General features: G+C 46.0%; 1 protein-coding gene across 1 annotated transcript, besides 6 other annotated features; it reads left to right on the forward strand.

Annotated features, from left to right (window-relative positions):
- Positions 9,155–9,315: a silencer, noted in NCBI's record as "fragment chr2:73110580-73110740 (GRCh37/hg19 assembly coordinates)". NCBI's record gives its function as "represses an EF-1alpha promoter that drives an FKBP-Casp9 reporter gene in an ReSE screen in HepG2 liver carcinoma cells {active_cell/tissue: HepG2}" and the evidence as "EXISTENCE:reporter gene assay evidence [ECO:0000049][PMID:32094911]".
- Positions 12,964–13,353: a silencer, noted in NCBI's record as "silent region_11626". NCBI's record gives its function as "represses an Ori minimal core promoter by ATAC-STARR-seq in GM12878 lymphoblastoid cells {active_cell/tissue: GM12878}" and the evidence as "EXISTENCE:reporter gene assay evidence [ECO:0000049][PMID:35858748]".
- On the forward strand, positions 13,112–17,862 carry SPR (sepiapterin reductase). Its single transcript, NM_003124.5, has 3 exons — positions 13,112–13,440; positions 14,018–14,308; positions 17,051–17,862. Exons 1-3 carry the CDS (start codon positions 13,137–13,139, stop codon positions 17,239–17,241), a joined length of 786 nt encoding a protein of 261 aa, NP_003115.1. The 5' UTR covers positions 13,112–13,136; the 3' UTR covers positions 17,242–17,862.
- Positions 13,992–14,166: a silencer, noted in NCBI's record as "fragment chr2:73115417-73115591 (GRCh37/hg19 assembly coordinates)". NCBI's record gives its function as "represses an EF-1alpha promoter that drives an FKBP-Casp9 reporter gene in an ReSE screen in K562 erythroleukemia cells {active_cell/tissue: K562}" and the evidence as "EXISTENCE:reporter gene assay evidence [ECO:0000049][PMID:32094911]".
- Positions 17,884–18,385: an enhancer, noted in NCBI's record as "H3K4me1 hESC enhancer chr2:73119309-73119810 (GRCh37/hg19 assembly coordinates)". NCBI's record gives its function as "activates a minimal SCP1, AML or CMV promoter by ChIP-STARR-seq in primed H9 embryonic stem cells {active_cell/tissue: H9 hESC(primed)}" and the evidence as "EXISTENCE:reporter gene assay evidence [ECO:0000049][PMID:30033119]".
- Positions 19,223–19,312: an enhancer, noted in NCBI's record as "active region_16021". NCBI's record gives its function as "activates an Ori minimal core promoter by ATAC-STARR-seq in GM12878 lymphoblastoid cells {active_cell/tissue: GM12878}" and the evidence as "EXISTENCE:reporter gene assay evidence [ECO:0000049][PMID:35858748]".
- Positions 19,713–20,002: an enhancer, noted in NCBI's record as "active region_16022". NCBI's record gives its function as "activates an Ori minimal core promoter by ATAC-STARR-seq in GM12878 lymphoblastoid cells {active_cell/tissue: GM12878}" and the evidence as "EXISTENCE:reporter gene assay evidence [ECO:0000049][PMID:35858748]".

Below are 20,964 nucleotides of genomic sequence, written 5' to 3' on the forward strand. Positions count from 1 at the left end.
TAAAGATGAAGTTGATGGTGACAGTACATTTTCATTATGGCAGTTTTACAAACTGAAGCTTTGTGCACTGCTGAAAGAAAATGTTTTCTGAATATTTTCTGTTTTTTGAGACAGAGTCTCACTCTATCACCAAAGCTGGAGTGCAGCAGTGGCCCAGTCATAGCTCACCGTAACCTCGAATTGCTCGGCTCAAGCGACCCCCCTGCTTCAGTCACCTGAGTAGTTGGGACTACATGTGTGCCACCACACCACGCTAAATTTTTAAATTTTTGTAGAGATAGGGTCTTGCTTTGTTGCCAAGGCTGGTCTCAAACTCTTGTCCTCAAATGATCCTCCTGGCTCGGCATCTGAATATTTTCAAAATCAGATTTAAGATAATTGCCCTCAAATATAATTTTATTTACAATATTTTTCCCATGTACTTGCTGCTTCAAACAGTCACTTGAGAAAATATTTGCCTTTAAATCCAGAATCTTGAAATAGGATATGATGGAACAATATAATTTAAATTCTGAATTCACATCTGTATTAGTCAGGATTCTCTAAAGGGACAGAAGTAATAGGATATATGTATATATGAAGGGGAGTTTATTAGGAGTACTGACTCACAGGACCACAAGATCAAGTCCCACAATAGGCCATCTACAAGCTGAGGAGCGAGGAAGCCAGTCTGAGTCCCAAAACCTCAAAAGTAGGAAAGCCCACAGTGCAGCATTCAGTCTGTGATCAAAGGCCTGAGAGCCCCTAGCAAATCACTGGTATAAGTCCAAGAGTCCAAAAGTTGAAGAACTCGGAGTCTGATGTTTGAGGGCAAGAAGCATCCAGCACGGGAGAAAGATGAAGACTAGAAGTCTCAGCAAGTCTGCTCTTTCCAACTTCTCCCTGCTTTATTCCAGCCACACTGGCAGCTGATTACATGGTGCCCACCCAGATTGAGGGTGGGTCAGCCTCTCCCAGTCCACTGACTCAAACGTTAATCTCCTTTGGCAACACCCTCACAGACACCCAGGAACAATACTTTGCATCCTTCGATCCAATCAAGTTGACACTCAGTATTAACCATCACAACATCTGCATCTGAGGTTTTACTGCACGCTCATCAGCTTCAAACTCGTCACTAGCGTAAAGCTGATAGGAGAATCTTTACGACAGGTTTCAGTGAAAGAAATATTGCCCTCACAAGACAACTGAGTTGGTTACATCTACAGCAGGTTCCAGCCAGTAAACTCTTCTCTGCAAATCACATGGGTTGTTGTGTTGTTACAGTGATCTGCAAAGTAAAAGGTCAAGGCTTTATTTTGGTATTTAAGCGGACTTCTTAATATGTCATAAGTGTTGCATTATCTTTTGTGAACATCTTGAATAAGTACATGACAAGGAAAAGGCAGTTCCACAGTATCTTGTATACCACATAGTTTGCTTTGGCTGAAGAAGAATATAGAAAAGGTCTACTCTCTGTTTATTGCCAGTAACCCATGGTGCTATCTTATATTTTAAAAAGACTTCTGGTTGCTTCTTCATGTCCAAGTGTCTGATATAGAAGGTACAAAAGTAGCACATTTAATATCATTAACCTTTTTATACACAGCAGACTTTAATTCTAGAAACTGCTTTTAGTAACACATTTTATAGAAGGAACTTTATATCTTCATCAAATGTCAAAAATTCTTCATCTACTACTAAAAATAGTTGGCAGTCTATAGCAATATTTTTGTCAAGCTTTCTGTTTAAATTTTTGCATAGACTCAAGAGTAAAAGGAACTATCTTCTTGAAATATTTTTATGAAGTCTGTTGTTTTGAAATATGATTAGTAGAAACAGAATGGGTTTGAAATACCTCATTTCCCCTAAACTTTTTTTTTTTTTTGAGACAGAGTCTCGCTCTGTCGCCCAGGCTGGAGTGCAGTGGTGCGATCTCGGCTCACTGCAAGCTCCGTTCCCCCCCGGGGCTCACGCCATTCTCCTGCCTCAGCCTCCTGAGTAGCTGGGACCACAGGCGCCTGCCACCACGCCCGGCTAATTTTTTTATTTTAATTCATTGTTTATATTCTATGTTAATCAAAGCTGTTTCAACATGGTAGTTTTTCTACTTCATTTTAGAGTTTTCCTCCTCATAAACTCTAGGTTAGCAAAGTTGATATTCTCCTTTGAAGTCATCCTCAACAAGATGTAAACAATTCCCAAATAGGACTTTTTCTTGAAAGACCCAAAGCTAAATAATACTAAATAAATAAAAATTAAATACAGTTTTTGAAGACTTCTTTGAACGTTATGAATGCTAAAATACCAAGCAAGTCTACAAAGATTATAACTCTATTATCACTCCTTATTCTTTTTTAAGAACATTTATGTTTTTAAGAAGCTGTTTATTTGTTTATTTTTTGAATAGGGAATACATTTATATGGCTTAAAAAGTCAAAGTAATGCAAAAGGTACACTCTGAGTATATCCGCTTTCACTCCAACTTCCCTCCCCCTCCTCTATAGTTAACTAGTTTTATAATTTATTGAGGATCTTTCCAGTATTTAATATGTGAATGTTAGAAAATCTAAGTATATATTTTTATTCCCCCCTTTATTGCACAAGATTGCATTTTGCATAAGATATACTTTTTTCCATTTTTTACTTTGCCTTCTTCATTCAGTATATATTCTAGAGATCTTTTTACATCAGTATAAAGAGCAATTTTCATTCATTTTTATAGCTGCATATTATGCCATTATGTAGGATGTAACTTAGCGTATTTAACTAGGTCCATTTGGATCTTTTCCAATCTTTTTTTGTTATAAGCAATGCTGCCATGCATGACTTTGAACACAAGTTATTTCATGCACGTGAAGTATATTCGAGGTAAATTTCCAGAAGTGGGATTACTGGTCAGAGGATAGAAACGTGTAATTTTGAGAGATATTTCCAAATTGCCTTACATAGGATTGTTATCTTTTGGGCTCCAATCAGCAATGCATAAGAGTTTCTTGCCAAAATTATGTGTCATCAAACATTTGGAATTTTGTAACCAAGCTCATAGATGATAATTGGCATGTCAATTTTGTTTTAATTTGCAGTTCTCATATTTTGAGTGAAATTGAGCATCTTCTATGAGTTTAAAGTCATTTGTATCTCTTTTTCTGAGAACTATCTGTTTATATCCTTTGCCTGTTTTTATATTGGGTTGTCTTTTTGTCTTGATTTCAATGAAATCCTTATATATTTAAAAATAAAAAAAAGTTGTGGGGGCCGGGCGCGGAGGCACTTTGGAGGCCAAGGCAAGTGGATCGCTTGAGGTCAGGAGTTCGAGACCCTGTCTCTACTAAAAATACAAAAATTAGTTGGGCATACTGGCATGTGCCTGTAATCCCAGCTACTCAGGAGGCTGAGGCAAGAGAATCCCTTGAACCTGGGAGGCGCAGGTTGCAGCAAGCTGGGATCGCGCCACTGCACTCCAGCCTGGGAGACAGAGTAAGACTCAGTCTCAAAAAACAAAAACAAAAACAAAAGACAAAAAAAGAACGCTTTGTCAGTCTTATGAATTGCAAAATTTTCCTATTTTTCTCTGCCTTGTAACTACTTTTTTGTGTAGTAAAATATATCGGTCTTTTTTTATTTGGTTTCTAGACTTTGATTCATAGAAAGGCCTTCCTCACTCCAATGTTACAAAGAAATTCGTCCATATTTTCTTCTACTACTTTTGAGGTTTTATTTTTTTCTGTATAAATCTTTGCTACATTTGGAGTTTATCTTGATGAATAGCGTGGGCTATGGATCCAATTTTATCTTTTCCAGATAGATATCCACTTGTCATAACACGATTTATTAACATTGAGATGCATCCTTTATCATAAACTGAATTTCCCCATGCTAGTCATCTTTTTCTTTACTTTTCTTTCTGTTTCTTTGTGTGTCTACTCATGTGCCAAAACCATACCATATCAATATTTATGGTCAGACTAGTCTCTTTCAATTGCTCTTCTTTTCAGACTCTTTCTACCCATTCTTTTCGTTTTTACTCTTTATTTGGAAATAAATTCAAATTCACAAATAGTTGCAAACATAAAGTAGTACAAAAATAGTCACATATCCTTTCATTTGTTTTATAGTTTCATCTTCTCTTCTTCTCCTTCTCTTTCGTACATAATTTTTTTGCTGACCCATTTAAGGATAAATTTCATACATCATGGCCTTTGCCCCTAAGTTCCCCAAGTGTGCATTTCCTAAAAATACAGATATTCTTTTAAATAACCACACTACAATGATCAACTTCATAAATTTACATTGATACAATACTTGTATCTCTTCTACCATTCATGTTTTTGCCATTTGACCCAATAATACCCTTTTTAGCATTTCTCGCGCCTCCAGTACAGCATTAAGCCAGTGCCCAGCTTTACATTTAGCTTATATCTATTCTTGCTTGTTTCATTTGATTAAAAAACTTGGTATTTTTATCAAGATTATATTAAAATATTTAATTAATTTAGGGAGAACTAACATCTTTGTAATGTAATGCCGAGTCTTCCTGTTCAAGAACACTTTATACTTTTTTATTCTGGTCTACTTTTTTGTTCTTTGGTGAAGTTTTAGTTTTCCTTATATACATTTGCACATTTTTGTTAATTTATACCTACTATTCTCTCTTTTTTTGCCCTATTTTATATGGACTTCTAACTGGCTGTGAAACTATTGATTTCAGAATATTTATTTTATACTAGTGGCCTTACAAAGTTTTCTTATTGTTTGTAGCAGTTTTCAGTTGTAATTTTAATTTTTTGCCTGTATTATTACTTACAATTTAAATAAATACTTATTGAATCAAAAGAAATAAAAATTTATTCCTAAATTATCTATCTCACATACTTTTTTTTTTTTTTCTGAGACGCAGTCTCTCTCTGTTGCCCAGGCTGGAGTGCAGTGGTGCTATCTCAGCTCACTGCAAGCTCCGCCTCTGGGGTTCACGCCATTCTCCTGCCTCAGCCTCCCGAGTAGCTGGAACTACAGGCGCCCGCCACCACGCCTGGCTAATTTTTTAATATTTTTATTAGAGACGGGGTTTCACCATGTTAGCCAGGATGGTCTTGATCTCCTGAACTCGTGATCTGCCCGCGTCAGCCTCCCAAAGTGCTGGGATTACAGCCGTAAGCCACCACACCCGGCCCCTATCTCACATACTTCCTTAAGGTTTGTATTAGCTCAATCTATTCCCCCTATTTACTTAAAATCTCTTTTTTTGAGAGAGAGAGAGAGAAAGAGAGAAAGAGAGAGAGAGAGAGACTCACTGGGTCACCCATGCTGGAATACAGTGGTGCCTTCCTGGGCTCAAGTAATCCTTCCTCCTCAGTCTCCCAAGTAGCTGGGACCACAGGCATGTGCCACCACACCCAGCTAATTTTTTAAAATTTTTTATTTCATAGAGACAAGGTCTCCCTATGTTGCCCAGGCTGGTCTCAAACCCCTAGGCTCAAGCAATCCTCCTACCTCAGCCTCCCAAAGTACTAGGATTCCAGGCATGAGTCACCATGCCTGGCCTACTTAAAGTCTTTTCTTGATATTTAAAATTAATCAATTTTTTGATACTTAAAATTAACAGCTTTTATAGTCATCATTAATTACCTCATAATTTTACTCTAGCAATAATACTTCAAAGTGTAACAAAATATCAACATATAAAAAGTATATAATAACTGCTGTTTTCACTTCAAGTTACATCTAGCATGCTTACTTGGATTTGCAATGAATATTCAGATGTCAGCTATAATTCTTAATGACACACCTCATTTGTCTTACTGGCCTTTTTAAACACATTATATTGATGGCAACATATAATTTTGAGGGAGGCTGACACTGGCATCTTCTAATCTGGGGGGGCGGTCACTGCAGAGACTACTGTAAGCAGGGACAGAGGCTCCATAGATTAGAAACAGGCAGTGACAAGAGGAGAATGTGCCCTGCAAACAAGCAGGTCCATATGGGAGAAAACCTGTTGTAAACAGGGAAACATGGAATGATCGTGGGGGCTAAGAACAGTATTCTGTGCTTCAGCTGTAGATCTGCGACCAAGATTTAACAGTAACAGAAAAGTGGATAGTGAGTAGGTTTCATGTAAACTACACATCCTGCCCTTGGCATTTTCTATTCCTTACCTCTATCCTCTCTTGAACCTACTTCAATCAAACTTTTGCATCCACCATTTCACAGAAACGTCTCATATGAAGGTCACCAATGACTTCCATGTTATTAAATCAATTCTCTAGGTACTTGACTTATCAGGAGTTTGTGACATTTCCATAACACATTTCTTTTTGAAGTACTTTAAAAACTATATTATACTTCCAAGACATCACAGTTTCCTGATTTTCCTCCTGCCTCCATGGCCAGTGGTTCTCAGGCTAGAAATGTTAGATTTAACAAACAAAAATACAGTTAATCCTGAATTTCAGGTAAATAACAAATAACTTTTCGTATAAGTTTATGCCAAATATTGCATGAGATAATTATGTATTAAAAATTATTTGTTTAAAATACAACTGGGTGTCCTTTATTTCATTTGGTAGCCCTATATCTGTCTGTTTTTCTGGATTCCTCCTTATCTCCACAACTTCTCTTCTCCATCTATACTCACTCCCTAAGTGGTCTCATACTATCTTGAGGCTTTAAAAACTATCTATCTGCTGAAGACTTTCAAATTTGTATCAACAGTCCAGACTTCCCCTTTTTACTCCAAACTTACATATATGTCTACTGATATCTCCTCTTTGATATCCAGTGGGCATCTCAAGTTAACACAACCAAAACTAATTTTTTTTTTTTTTAGATGAAGTCTTGCTCTGTCACACAGGCTAGAATGCAGTGGCATGATCTTGGGTCACCGCAACCTCTGCCTCCTGGGTTCAAGCGATTCTCCTGGCTCAGTCTCCCAAGCATCTGGGACTACAGACATGCACCACCACACCCAGCTAATTTTTGTATTTTTTGGTAGAGATGGGGTTTCACCATGTTGGCCAGGCTGGTCTTAAACTCCTGGCCTCAAGCGATCTGCCCGCCTTGGCCTCCCAAAGTGCTGGGATTACAGGCGTGAGCCACTGCACCCAGCCCCAAAACTGAACTTTAATCTCCTCCAAAGAACCCTGCTCCTTCTGCAGTCTTCCCCACCTCAGAAAATGGCAATTTTTATCTTCCCAGTGCGAAGGCCCCAAACTGTGGAGTCATCACCAAGTATTCCCTTTTTTGTATACGCCATCTCCATGTCTTCAGCAAATCCTTTTGCCTTCGTCTTCAAAATGTATCCCCAAATGAATCACATCTCTGGAATCTCTCATCTGTAATACAGAAACAACCTCCTAGATAGTCTCCCTGCTCCTTCCTAGAGTCTATTGTTTATTCTCAAAACTGAAGCAGGAATGATTCTGAGTCTAAGCAGATTCCTTATGCTCAGATCCCTCCAGTGCTTTCCCATCTCTCTCCTAATAAAAGGAAAAGTTTTACAACCACCTGTAAGGCCCTGTACAAATCTGGCATTCCATGACTTCTCTGATCTAAATTCTCTCTGCCTTGCTACTACTACTAAAACAACCCTGCTCTTTTCCTGTTCTTCAGAAAACCCAGGCACCCTCCCACTTAGAAGCCTTTGTGCTTTGTTTTCTCTGCCTGAAATAGTCTTCCTCTGGATAGCTGCACGGGTCACTCTCCCACCTCCTACTGCTGTCTTCTCAGATACTATGCTTTCAATGTGGCATTCTCTGATCACCCAGTATTAAATTGCAAGCACTCTCCACCTCAGTACTACATAATTACCAACCTTGTTTTATTTTCCTTTGAAACTTATCATCATGTGTATTAGTCTATTTTATGCTGCTACAACAGAAGACCTGAGATGGGTAATTTATGAACAATAGAAGTTTATTAGGCTCATAGTTATGGAGGGTGAGAAGCCCAAGAGCATGGCACAAGAATCTGGTGAGAGCCTTCATGCTGCACCATTCCATGGCAGAAGGCAGAAGGGCAAGGGCAAGAGAGCATGTGTGAGATTGAAAGAAGAAGAGAGAGCCAAACTTTTTTTTTTTTTTTTGAGATAGAATCTCACTCTGTCACCCAGATGGGAATGCAGTGGTGCGATCTCAGCTCACTGCAACCTCTGCCTCCTGAATTCAAGCACTTCTTATGCCTCAGCCACCAGAGTAGCTGGGACTATAGGCATGCACCACCATGCCCAGCTAATTTTTTATATTTTTAGTAGAGATGGGGTTTCCCCGGGTTTCCCAGGCTGGTCTCGAACTCCTGAGCTCAGGCTACCCACCTGCTTTGGCCTCTCAAAATGCTGGGATTACAGGCATGAGCCAGTGCCCAGCCCAAACTCACTTTTCTAACAAGCCCACTCCTGCAATAATAACTCACTCCTGTGACAATGACATTAATCCATTCACAAGGGCAGAGCCCACCTGGCCTAATCACTTATTATGCTCTACCTCTCAACACTGTTCCATTAGGGATTAAGTTTCCACCACATGGCTGGGTGCCGTGGCTCACATCCCAGCAATTTGGGAGGCCCAGGTGGGAGGACTGCTTGAGTCCAGGAGTTTGAGATCAGACTGGGCAATATAGTGAGACCTCATCTCTACAACAAAATTAAAAATTAGCTGAGCATGGTGACATGCACCTGTAGTCCCAGATACTTAGGAGGCTGAGATGGGAGGATCTCTTGAGCCTGAGAGGTGGAGGTTGCAATGCACCTAGATCGCACCACTGCACTCCAGCTTGGGTGACAGAGTGAGACCCTGTCTCAAAAAAAAATTTCCAACACATGAACTTTGGGGCACACATTCAAACCATAGCTGCATCCAACATACTACAAGTTTTACTTTATTTTTTTATTTTTGGTCTGTTTCTCTCTCCAAGAATGTAAGCTTGAGGAAGACAGGAATTTTTGCCTATTTTGCAAACTAATGTATCTCCAGCACCTATAAGTAGCATGAATGTGGTCTCTTCAAAGCCTGGTACTTGGTAGGCACTCAATAAATAGAATAAATAGTTATTGAATGCATAAATAAATGAATGAATGAAACTAAATACGCATAAAGCAGCTGTCACCAGGTGACAGATTATTGAGAAATCCCAGAGCAAAGGAAGCAATAAAGAAAAGATGAGTTTGGGAGGGTAATGAAAAGCTCAGTCTTGGCAGAGAGGAAAGCAGAGGGACCCTGGCTGTCTTTTCCTTTCTTTCAACCTACTAGTAAAAGACGGGAGCTGTCCAGCATGGACCTCCTGAAGTTGGAGTGCCGCTGCAGGGACGAAAGCCTGCTTTCCTAACCCTGCCCAGGATCACTTCATTGCCATCCTTTATCAAATACACCTTTGTTCCCTGTGTGCTTATCCTTCCCAGTCCTTTTCCCTTTACTCAAATGTGCCCAGAAAGCCCATGAGCTACATGAAGTCTTATTGTTCCCAAGCTTTTCAAAAAGCTTTACTCACTCCAGTAACTTCCATGCCATTAAAGTGATGACTGGGATGACAGAAACAGTGTCTTCATAAATGTATCCATTGAAATGTGTTTGGTGCTTCCTTTGTGTGTATCTCTCAAAAATAAGCTTTTCAAATTTGGTGAAAAGCCAAGATTGGGGGCTCAATAGTCTAGCAAATTTCTTAATGAGGAAGCCCTGCTTCTCTATCACACACCTAGTTGATTGAGTTGTGTGTCTCCCCTCCCCAACCTCTAAAGACATGTCTACTTGAATCCTGTGAATCCCAACAAGTTTCTCATCTCCATCTGAGACCACCTCAGCCTGGACCTTATTGTCCATATCACTATCAACATTTTGGTCAAAGCCATTCAACAAGCCTCTAGGAAGTTCCAAACCTTCCCACAATTTCTTATATTCTGAGCCCTCCAAACTGTTCCAACCTCTGCCTGTTACCCGGTTCCAAAGTCACTTCCACATTTTAAGGTATCATTACAGCAGTACCCCACTCTCAGTACCAATTTACTGTATTAGTCCATTTGCCCACTGCTGATAAAGACATACCTGGGGCTGGGTAATTTATAAAGAAAAAGAGGATTAATGGAATCACAGTTCCATTAATCTGTGGATTCCATTAATTAACACAGTTAATTCCATTCCATTAATTAACACAGTTCCATTAATGTCTGGGGAGGCCTTACAATCATAGTGGTAGGTGAAGGGTGAAAGGCGCATCTTACATGGCAGCAGGCAAGAGAGAGCTTGTGTAGGGGAACTCTCACTTATAAAACCATCAGATCTCATGAGACTTATTCACTATCATGAGAAGAGTATGGGAAAGACCCGCCCCCATGATTCAATTAACCTTCCACTGGGTCTCTCCCATGACACATGGGAATTGTAACACATGGGAAATATAATTCAAGATGAGATTTGGATGGGGACACAGCCAAATCATATAACCTGCCAATATTTATTATCTGTCTGTTTTATTTTAGCCATCTTAATGGATATGAAGTGGTATCTTATCGTAATTTTGATTTGTATTTCCCTGATGGCAAATTATGTTGAATATCTTTCTATGTGCTTATTGACCATTTGTGTAATTTCTTTGGATAAATGTCTGTTCATATACTTTGCTCACTTTTTCATTTTACTTTTGACTTATAAGTATGGCTTTTTTTTTTTTTTTTTTTTGAGGTGGAGTCTTGCTCTGTCACGCAGGCTGGAGTGCAGTTGTGAGATATTGGCTCACTGCAACTTCTGCCTCCTGGGTTCAAGCAATTCTCCTGCCTGAGCCTCCTGAGTAGCTGGGACTACAGGTATACGCCACCACGCTCAGCTAATTTTCATATTTTTAGTAGAGACAGGCTTTCACCATGTTGGCCAGGCTGGTCTTGAACTCCTGACCTCAGGTGATCCACCTGCCTCAGCCTCCCAAAGTATGACTCATTTCAAAAACTTTGTTATTTAGAAATAATTTCAGACTTTTACAAAGTTGCAAGAATAGTATAAAGAATTCCTGAATACTTTTAATGCAGATTTCCTAAATGTTAACATTTTACCTTTGCCTTATTCATTCTAATTTTTTTCTGAAACATTTGAAAGTAAGTTGCAGATATGATGCCCCTTTACTAAATACTTCTGTGTACTTCCAAAAACAAGAACACTCTCTGATATAACAATAGTTCACTGGTCAAAGTCAGGAAATGATTCAATGCCAATAACTAACCTACAGACCTTATTCAAATTTCACCCATTCCCCTACCCATGTCCTTTATCAGGCTTATGTTTTTAACACAATTTTTACACATTTCTTACCTTTCAGGCATTTGTATCTTTTTAAAAGAGTTACTGTTGGCCAGGTGGGGTGGCTCACACCTATAATCCCTGCACTTTGGGAGGCTGAGATGGGAGAACTGCTTGAGTCCAGTTCAAGACCACACTGGGCAACACAGCAAGAGCCATCTCTATAAAAAAACACAAAAATTAGCGAGAGCAGATAATCATCTTCCTCAGAAAAGAAGAATTTTCCAGACCCTCTCCTAGTATAGGAAAACCACGTTCTCCTTAGGGGCTGTTCCCAAGTGGTTCCTCCTAGAAGCAGCTAGGTTCAGAAGAGTCTAGGTCTGATTTTTTGCCATCCCTTCATTGTTCCCTCCTTTTCTTCAAAAATCTGGCAAATGGTAGAAATTTAACAAATGTCAAATGAATGGATGGATGGGATCGTGCTTTCATCAACCTGTCTTCTAAGGCCTGGAGAGCAGGGAGAAGCTATTAAAATTCTTTAAATAGTAAGCTGTTGGGCCAATGAGATCTTTATCTTCAGTGTGAATAGGTAAGTGAAAAGCAGGGCAACTTCAAATGGTATACACATATACAGAGTCTTATCAGCGTTAAAATACCAAAAGCTTAAAAAACAATTAGCCAGGCGTGGTGGTGCGCACCTGTAATCCTAGCTACTCAGGAGCCTGAGGTGGAAGGATTGCTTGAGCCCAAGAATTCAAGGCTGCAGTAAACTGTGATCACACCTCTGCACTTCAGTTTGGGCCACAGAGCGAGACTCTGTCAAAAAAAAGAAAAAAGAAAAGAAAAAAGCCTTCCTCCAAGTTGTTTCTTCCTTAGAGTTGGCAATAATAGTGGAAAGGCGGTAACTTTGCTGTTTAGCCCCAGGGGAGGGATCAGCCCTGTGGGGAATTGGGCTAAGTTATCAGAGGTTACTTACTGCCCTTGCTAAACTCTAAAGAGATTCGTTTTTTAAAAACTGACACACAATATTTGGACATATGTATATACACAATGGAATACCACTCGGCCACTAAGAAGGAAACCATGAAGAGATTCCTTTTTAATATATGTAGCTGCATGCCAACTTGTCTCACGTTCCTCCTCTCCTAGAAAAAAAAAAATGTGGATTTTTCTGAAGCACCTGCCTGGAGGTACAGACAGATGATTGCGCAAACTTGAAGCTGAAAGTGGATGGAATTGCTGCCAGGGAGACTGTAGCATGAGCAGGAGCAGAATCCTGGGGAACACACTTTTAGGGACAGGAGTCAGAAATCTCAGAGAAGCAGGGGTTACTGGTGGGATCACGGAGCTGCTCAGGGCCTAGTAAAAGGGAAAGGTTTTAATATCATTTGGAGCCACTGTGGTTCTCCCAGAGGAAGCTCCTGTCATCCAGAGAGCGGTGAGCTCCCAAACAAGCAGAGACTTCAATTCCTAAACAGGCATAAGCTTCATTCAGGGTGTTCACTGGCCACGACCAGGGACGCCCAGCACCCAGTGCAGGGCCTGCCCTGGAAGAGGTCAGTAGTGCAAAGTTAGGGCTGGAACTGGGAGGAAATTCGAGCATGCGTCCCAGCCGGAGGCTGAGCTTGCGGGCGAAGAACACGGCAGCGCTGGGAACCGGGCTAGGGCTTTCCGTGTGGGCCGCGCCTGCCGGCCCTCTCTGTTGTCCCACTTGGCACGGACTGGGCTACCGCCACGGTTTGACTTCCGCCACCAGCAACCAAGGGAACCAGATCCCAAGGGAACCAGCACCCCTGGGCGCTCGCGGCCCGAAGCCTGAGGTTCCCGCCCCGCCCCGGCAGGGCGGCCCCGCCGACACCCGTAGCGGTCCCGCCCCCCGCGGCCGCACCGCCTCCTGCCTGGTCTCGGGTGCCAGCGCCGCCGGCGGAGAACAGGAGCATGGAGGGCGGGCTGGGGCGTGCTGTGTGCTTGCTGACCGGGGCCTCCCGCGGCTTCGGCCGGACGCTGGCCCCGCTCCTGGCCTCGCTGCTGTCGCCCGGCTCCGTGCTTGTCCTTAGCGCCCGCAACGACGAGGCACTGCGCCAGCTGGAGGCCGAGCTGGGCGCCGAGCGGTCTGGCCTGCGCGTGGTGCGGGTGCCCGCCGACCTGGGCGCCGAGGCCGGCTTGCAGCAGCTGCTCGGCGCCCTGCGCGAGCTCCCCCGGCCCAAGGGGCTGCAGCGACTGCTGCTTATCAACAACGCGGGTAAGACCCCGGGGCTGGAGCGGACTCCCCATGTGAGCGCCCACTTCCTCCACCGCTGGGGAATTTAAGGGCTACTCCTAGGGGTCAGATAGGACGCCTAGAAATCTAAAGCCCTAGTTGTTCCAGCTTGAGTAGCAAGTGGAGGCGAGGTGTACAGGAAGACTCGGTGCCGTCGGGACAACAGTCTGCCCCCACTTCCTGGAAAATTGGCCAGCCGGGTTTTCCAAAGCGCCTGTAGAACTTTCCCGAGCCCCTTGCTCTGCGCCCTCTGGCGGAGGCCTGAGTCAGGGCTTGGAGTCTCCAAACAAGTAAACTCTCTGCTTCTCCAAAGGACCGCTAGAGCTTTCCTTCAGCCCCACGGCAAGGCAGGTGCCTTCTCATTCTGCAGCTTGGGATGGCTAGGTTCCCCAGCTGTGTCTTTCCGCAGAGCTGGGGAAGAGAGAAGCCTCTTCAGAAGCGCTAGGCAGCTTCCTCCTCTAGGTCTGCATGGGAAGAGGATATCTGGAGGAACTTGGGAGGGCTGGGGAAGAAGAAAGCCCCGCCTGCACTGAGTTACTCCTAAGGGTTGGTTTTTCAGGCTCTCTTGGGGATGTGTCCAAAGGCTTCGTGGACCTGAGTGACTCCACTCAAGTGAACAACTACTGGGCACTGAACTTGACCTCCATGCTCTGCCTGACTTCCAGCGTCCTGAAGGCCTTCCCGGACAGTCCTGGCCTCAACAGAACCGTGGTTAACATCTCGTCCCTCTGTGCCCTGCAACCTTTCAAAGGCTGGGCGCTGTACTGTGCAGGAAAGGCTGCTCGTGATATGCTGTTCCAGGTCCTGGCGCTGGAGGAACCTAATGTGAGGGTGCTGAACTATGCCCCAGGTAGGTGGGAAGTCCTGCCGTCCCTGTCCTCCAGAACCCACTGGTGCGCCTCTGGGGGCTGGGCAAGCGGCCTAGTCCGCCCCCTCCAGGAAACAACCCACAGGATTTTGTCCTTGAATCTTGACCCATCACCCCTTAGGGGAAATACAGACCCAGGGGAAATAGAGGTGGCAGGGGCCGGGGATACTGGTAGAGAGTGAGGAGTTTCCTGGACTGGAGGGTGGGGCAGGAAGGTCTGAGGTATTAGATGGAGTTTGGGAGAAGACTGGGGTTTGAGTTCCAGGCCTTCCTCATGTGAAATGGGGAAGACGCTCCCTGCCTCACAGGGCACTTGGGAAGACTGAATGAGATACTGTATGTGAAAATGACCCTGACCTGTGAAGTGTTGCCTCATTGTTAAATAGGACTGACCACACTGTATTGTCTGCATATGTTTGCTTGCCTCCTTCCCTCCCTTGACAGGAAAGCCTTTGCACTATGCAGATGTGTGTTCCTAACACCTAGCAAAGCACTACACTAAGGCAAGCTGCAGGACATGCTAGCTGTATGGAGAGCAGACAGACTTTGTTGAGTGCTGACCATCCCTGGCTGAACTGTGCTGGAACACTATTGAGGATTCTGGGATAAATAGAATAGATCCCTTGCTCTCATGAACGCCAAAGGACAGGGAGTCTTGTGATACTGGGTCTAGTTTCTGATGCCACAGCGCCCCTGTCTTAATAGTGAGGAGTCTCTTTTAGGCTTGAGGTTGCTGCAATCAGAAGGTGGTGACAGAGCAGCCATGGAAAGCCTGAGCAACTTGGGCAGAAATCCAGTAGCCTGTGTCCCTGGGGAATAGGGTCAGGCTCCCAGGGCAGACAGGTAGAATGGCCTGCACAAAGCACAGATGTGGCAGGGCTGGATCCCACCTTGCTTTCAAGTTCTTCCTCATGTTCTCCAGTACCCCAGCCCCTACCACCCCTGCCCCCCAACACACATGCACAATTATTCTCACAACCAACATTCAACTCATCATCCACTCTGAATTCAGCCCAAGGATTCGCACAAACAACAGTGACCAAATGTAAGCTACAACCAGGAGCAGAGCAGACTCCAGAAGTCCACATGGCTGCGTTTGGTCTCAGGAGGCTGCCCTGGGCATTATGAGGGAGCTGAGATTTTCAGGAGGTCCCCAGGGCCTGAACCAAGGCAGAGGCCAGTCTGGTTTTCATTTCGGTCTCAGGAAGAATGTTCTAACAGGTGCTCAGAGATGGAATGGGCTGTTTGGAAAGGCAGCAAGTCCTCTCTCAGCAGGGATGCACAGGTCATTGGAAAATAGTCAAGGACCAGGAGATAAATTCTCCCTCCAACCCTGGAATTCTCTGATGTTCTGCCCTCGAGGACCATTAACTGCAAATATTGGGGTGCATGAGTGATTCCTATGTGAAGAATAGAACGTGCTTGCAACAGTTCAAGAAGGGAACAATTCCTTTAGGTGGGGAGACTAGAGATGGCTTTATTGGAGGTAGCTGAACTGGACATTGACCTTGGTTGTTGGCAGATGGAAGGCATTCCTGATGAAAGGAAATAAAGGTGCGAAGGCTCACTGTGGGCGTGGCAGGTCTTCAGTTTGCCTGTAGAGTAGGTGTGCCCAGAGGAGGGCAGACTAGGATGCCTTGAGTATTAGGCCAGGCTACTGGGAAGCTGTTGAGGGGTTTTGAGCGGAGGAATGTTGTGATCCCAGTGATGTTTTTGTTTGTTTATTTGTTTGTTTGTTGAGATGGAGTCTCACTCTGTTGCCTAGGCTGGAGTGCAGTGGCACGATCTCGGCCACTGCAAGCTCCACCTCCCAGGTTCACGCCATTCTCCTGCCTCAGCCTCCCGAGTAGCTGGGACTACAAGCGCCCGCCACCACACCCGGCTAATTTTTTGTATTTTTAGAAGAGATGGGATTTCACCATGTTAGCCAGGATGGTCTCAATCTCCTGACCTCATGATCTGCCCGCCTCGGCCTCCCAAAGTGCTGGGATTACAGGCGTGAGCCACTGCACTTGGCCTAGGCTCAGGCAATTCTAGTGCCTCAGCCTCCACAGTAGCTGGGACTACAGGCATGTGCCACCACACCTGGCTAATTTTTGTATTTTTAGTAGAGACAGGGTTTCACCATGTTGGCCAGGCTGGTCTCAAACTCCTGACCTCAAGTGATCCTCCTGCCTCAGCTTCCCAAAGTGCTGGGGTTGCAGGTGTGAGCCACTGCAGCTGGGCCCCAGTGATGTTTTAGTAGAATGAGTTTAGTAGAGGGCTACAGAAGGAGCTGAGGCAGGGAGAGAAGCAAGGTTGTAAAAAGGGCCTGATTGTCGGGATGTGTAGATGCTGAAGGGTCCTACCTGGTGCCTGGTTGGCTCTGGGGACGATGGGGGAGGGAAGGAGGAAGTGATGGACGTTTTGAGTCTGGGAAAAGAATACTTCATTAATAGAAATGGGAATGTCAGGAGGTGGTGCTGGTTGGACAGGAGATGAGAATCTTGGTTTTAGACATGGTAGTCTAGAGGGTCCATGTTCAGTGGGCTTTTGAATTTCAGTCCAGAACTTGATGGTGACAAATTGGAGCCTTTGGCAACCCTGACCACACATTTCAGCCAAGATGACGTGTTTCCTCTGGCCAGACCTGACTCAGCCCCACCCCCGACATAAAACAGGGACCTGAAACCTTCTGTCCCTGCCTTGGCCATGTTCCCTCATCGTCTCCTTTTCATCCTCTAGGTCCTCTGGACACAGACATGCAGCAGTTGGCCCGGGAGACCTCCGTGGACCCAGACATGCGAAAAGGGCTGCAGGAGCTGAAGGCAAAGGGGAAGCTGGTGGATTGCAAGGTGTCAGCCCAGAAACTGCTGAGCTTACTGGAAAAGGACGAGTTCAAGTCTGGAGCCCACGTGGACTTCTATGACAAATAAGCCCATGTTTTTGGCTTCCTGAACCTTTTTGCCCCCACTTTTAGACATACCCCAGAGCCCTGTGGCTCCCCACACCCTGCCATAGGGGCAGTCCTGCCTTACACATAGAAGCATTCATGCCTGCTGCCCTGCCCTCAGGCACAGCCAGCTGTGAGCTCCCAGGTCATTGGCCTTACCAGTTGTCAGGAGTCTGTGCTGTGCACCCTGGGTTATAAGGAGGCTTAGGAGAGAGGTTATGGGTATTGGTGTCTCTATCCCCAGGAATAGAACTTAAGGGGTGGGAAGAACAGGAAAAGAAGCTGGAACACAGAAGAGAGGAGGTTGTGTCTCTTGCTCATAGCAAGCCTGTGGGTAGAGGAAAGAGTGATCTGGTGTCGAATAGGAGGACCCATGTAGATTCGCAGATGGCCTGGATGGGAGGAAGGGCAGACGGTACATGTCCCAGCCCACATAGATGCCCCTTGCTGAGGGTAGCAGGACCTTCTGTTGAACTTTGTGTCCTCACTCTGATGTCTCCTTCCTTCAGAATCTACCACCCCTCCCCCAGGCTGGGAGAAGGGGCTCCTGGGTGTCTGTATACACGCCAAAGGCAGATACAAATAAAATACAGATTGTCCTTTCTTCATGCTTGCTTTCTCCTCTGATACAGGGCCTATGACTGACTGCCTGGTTCACTGGGCCCAAGGCCATTCCCAAGGCAGTTAACCCAAAAGTGAGGTGTTGTCCTTATTTCCTAGGGAGCTTTCCGGGGGCCATCTGCCTCCAGTCATCAGGCCCCACTCAGTGGCAAGCCCAGGTGCAAAGTTGCCCACAATCGGCATGCCTGCTTTTTTGTGCTGTTGCCCACGCTGACCCCAGCCTTGATAGCCCTTTTCTCACCCTGGGCTATTCAGAATACCCATCTTTTAGGGCCCAGCTTACAGCCTGCCCTCCACATGGCCCTAAAGCCTGGGTCCTTTCCCCAACTCTGTGGATTGCCAATTCCACCCCCTGTCCACGTGGCAATGCTGTGAATGGATGCCAGCTGCTATTGGCCCTTTTGGCATTGTCCATCTGGCCCATGGTCCAGGTCGTCAGTGGGGTGGGCTTAGGACCAGCATGCCTTTGGGGGAGATGGGCAAGATTCCAAGAAAGGGAAGCTCTGAGAAATCAGGGCTGCAACCAAGCCAATCCTTGTGCAGGTTGGTAGACATAGGCTGGGCTGCGAGCTCCACGGCAGTGGTGGTCTGCAGCCAGCACCCTGGCCCCTGGCCATATTTGGGAGAAGGAAGCGTGGTCCCCTGCCCGCTGACTCCAGGACTCAGCCTGCCTCTGAGTGTGCAGAAGGGAACTCCTCCTTGTGCTCAGCAGAGGGCGCATGGAGGCCGCGCCTTTTGCTGAAGGGCAGGCCCTAGGCTGAAGCTGGCAGTGCCCTGCCTGCTCCCCTAGGAGGGAATGGGCGAACTTTTACCTGGTCCAGCAGATGCCTTGCCCTCATGCCCCCATCGAAGTAGAAATCACTGGGCTCAGGTTCCTGCTCTGCCACAGCTGGTAACCCAGGGCAAGTTTCTTCTCTGTGCCTCAGTTTCCTTATCTGAAAAATGTGGATTATAATGGCACCTACCCTGAAGGGTTATTTTGAACATTAAGTGACCTAATGTTTGTAAATGTTCAGCACAGTGCTAGCATTGTGGTAAATGCCCTGTAGATGCTAATATTATTTATTGCCTTTAAATATCAAGATCCAGCTCATCCTGGAACTCTGCTGGAAGCCTCCTCTCCTCTAGACAGTTCAGACATCCTCCCCTGCCTGACTTGAGGCAAAAACTCTCACTGTACTGCCCCTATTCAGCCTCCTGGAGGTGAGGGTGGGGTCTGGTCTGGATACCTTGTCTTGGATTTACAGGAAAATGTGTGAACTTTGGAGTCAGGAACCTTCAGTCCCACTACCTTGTCTATGACAGAGATGCTGTGGGGTGTTGGGCAGAGCCCTGCTCTCTCTCTGGGCTTCAGTTTCCTTAGAGCAGTGAACTCCAAGATTCTTTCCTGGACACCTTCGTCTGAGGTGTTTCCAGTGTGGTGAGGCCATGGATTATGGCAGCCTGGGCTGCCTTTCATGACGTGGTGGGTGGTGGGTAGGTTTCCTCACCAGGCCCCTTGCTCCTGTGGGAGTGTGAGGGTGGGCAGTGCCAGTCCAGCTCCTTGTGGATGATCATCGGGGTTGACTCTGTACCTCCCCTCTAGGCTGGTTGGCCAGGGGCTTAGTGAGGAGTACCGCTTGTCCCCACGAGGTGGCGAGGCCCTCCCATGCCTGACATTTGTCTTCTCTGAGCCCAGAGATGTAAGAGCTTCGGAAGTGCTCTCTTGGGCTATCTCTCCCTGCAGCCCAGGATTCTGGACTCTCGGGCCCCCAGGGAATTGGGGAGATCAGAGATGGGCAGCATCACTCTTCCTGTCAGGTCCCGAGGCCTCTTCAGTGACCCACAGTCTCTGCCCTCAGGGATTTCCCAGACCTTGCTCCCAGCCCTGGACTCAGCCTCCCCAGGTCCACCCACACTGAGGCATGGAGGCTTTTGTGGCGGCCTCCAGGCCATAAGCAGCCACCCTCCAGGGGCTAACCATCTGTGTTCCCCAACCGCATGACCTGGCCTTGGCCACCGCACACATGAGCACACGTGAGTGCACACACACAAATACATGCCTGCACATGCCCAGGGCCCAGCTGCTGGAGCGAGCAGGGCCATAGATGAGCTAAAAGACAAACGAGGTTCCTCTTTGTCTTTGGTGTGAGAGCGCTGTGCAGTTTTTGGTTTTGTGTTTAATACACCTGCACTGGGGCCAGCAGCTGGCCTGTAAGGAGCAGGGGGAGTGAGGGGAATATTCCAGGCCAAAGCCAGTGTCCAAGAGCATGACCAGCTGGGATTAGTCTGGTCAAGAGGTTCCCCCGAATCCCCAATTCCTGTCCTTCCTCCTATGAATACATATGTGTGCCCCCACACCCAGGCTGGTGCTGAGTCTGTTGTCAGCCATCAGGGTCACCCGCCCGGGATGTACTCCATCCTAGCATCTCCCCGTGCCTCACCCCAGAGAGCTAAGCCCTGGAATGCTGCCTCCTGGCCTCCTTCACCTTCGTCCTTTCCCATAGAACATGGCCTCATAGGCTAGCATGCATGCGATAATTCTGACTCATATGGCAGGTGAGCACACCCAAAAGCGCCCAGGCGTGCCCTCGCTACTGGGCTCCCGTGTGATGACAGGGAGGTGGGTGAAGATGACTCCAAGTCCCCTGGGGTAGAAACCCCCTGAGGTGGCACCTCTCCAGCCCTCACATCATCTCTCAGTGATCTGGGGTGTAAAAGCAGGGGAGTGGACCAGAAGCCACTAGACAGCTTGCTGGAAACCAGCTGAGGAATCACTCTGAACCTCTGGGGTTAGCTGGGGGAGCCGATGGAGGGTAGGGCTCTGAGCCTGGAGCGAGCCATCCTTGCCCCACTCCCCAGTCCTGAGGTCTCCCACCTGTGGTGCTGGGAGGCGGGGAGCAGCACAGATGTTGTCTCAGACTTTTGAAGTAGAGCCCACTCCCACGAGGGAATGATTGTTACTTCCCAGCCAGCCTCTCCTACCTCACCCTTTGTCTCTCCTTTCATCCATGGTAACTCCATCTTCAGCCCTAAGAGCCCTTCGTGTGAGCCAGGAGAGTCCCGGACTTCTTTTTTCAGTGAGGAGCTGGGGGAAAGGAGGAAG

The sequence above is a fragment of the Homo sapiens genome, chromosome 2, assembly GCF_000001405.40.
Source record: "Homo sapiens chromosome 2, GRCh38.p14 Primary Assembly".
In the NCBI taxonomy this organism is placed as follows: Eukaryota; Metazoa; Chordata; class Mammalia; order Primates; family Hominidae; genus Homo; species Homo sapiens.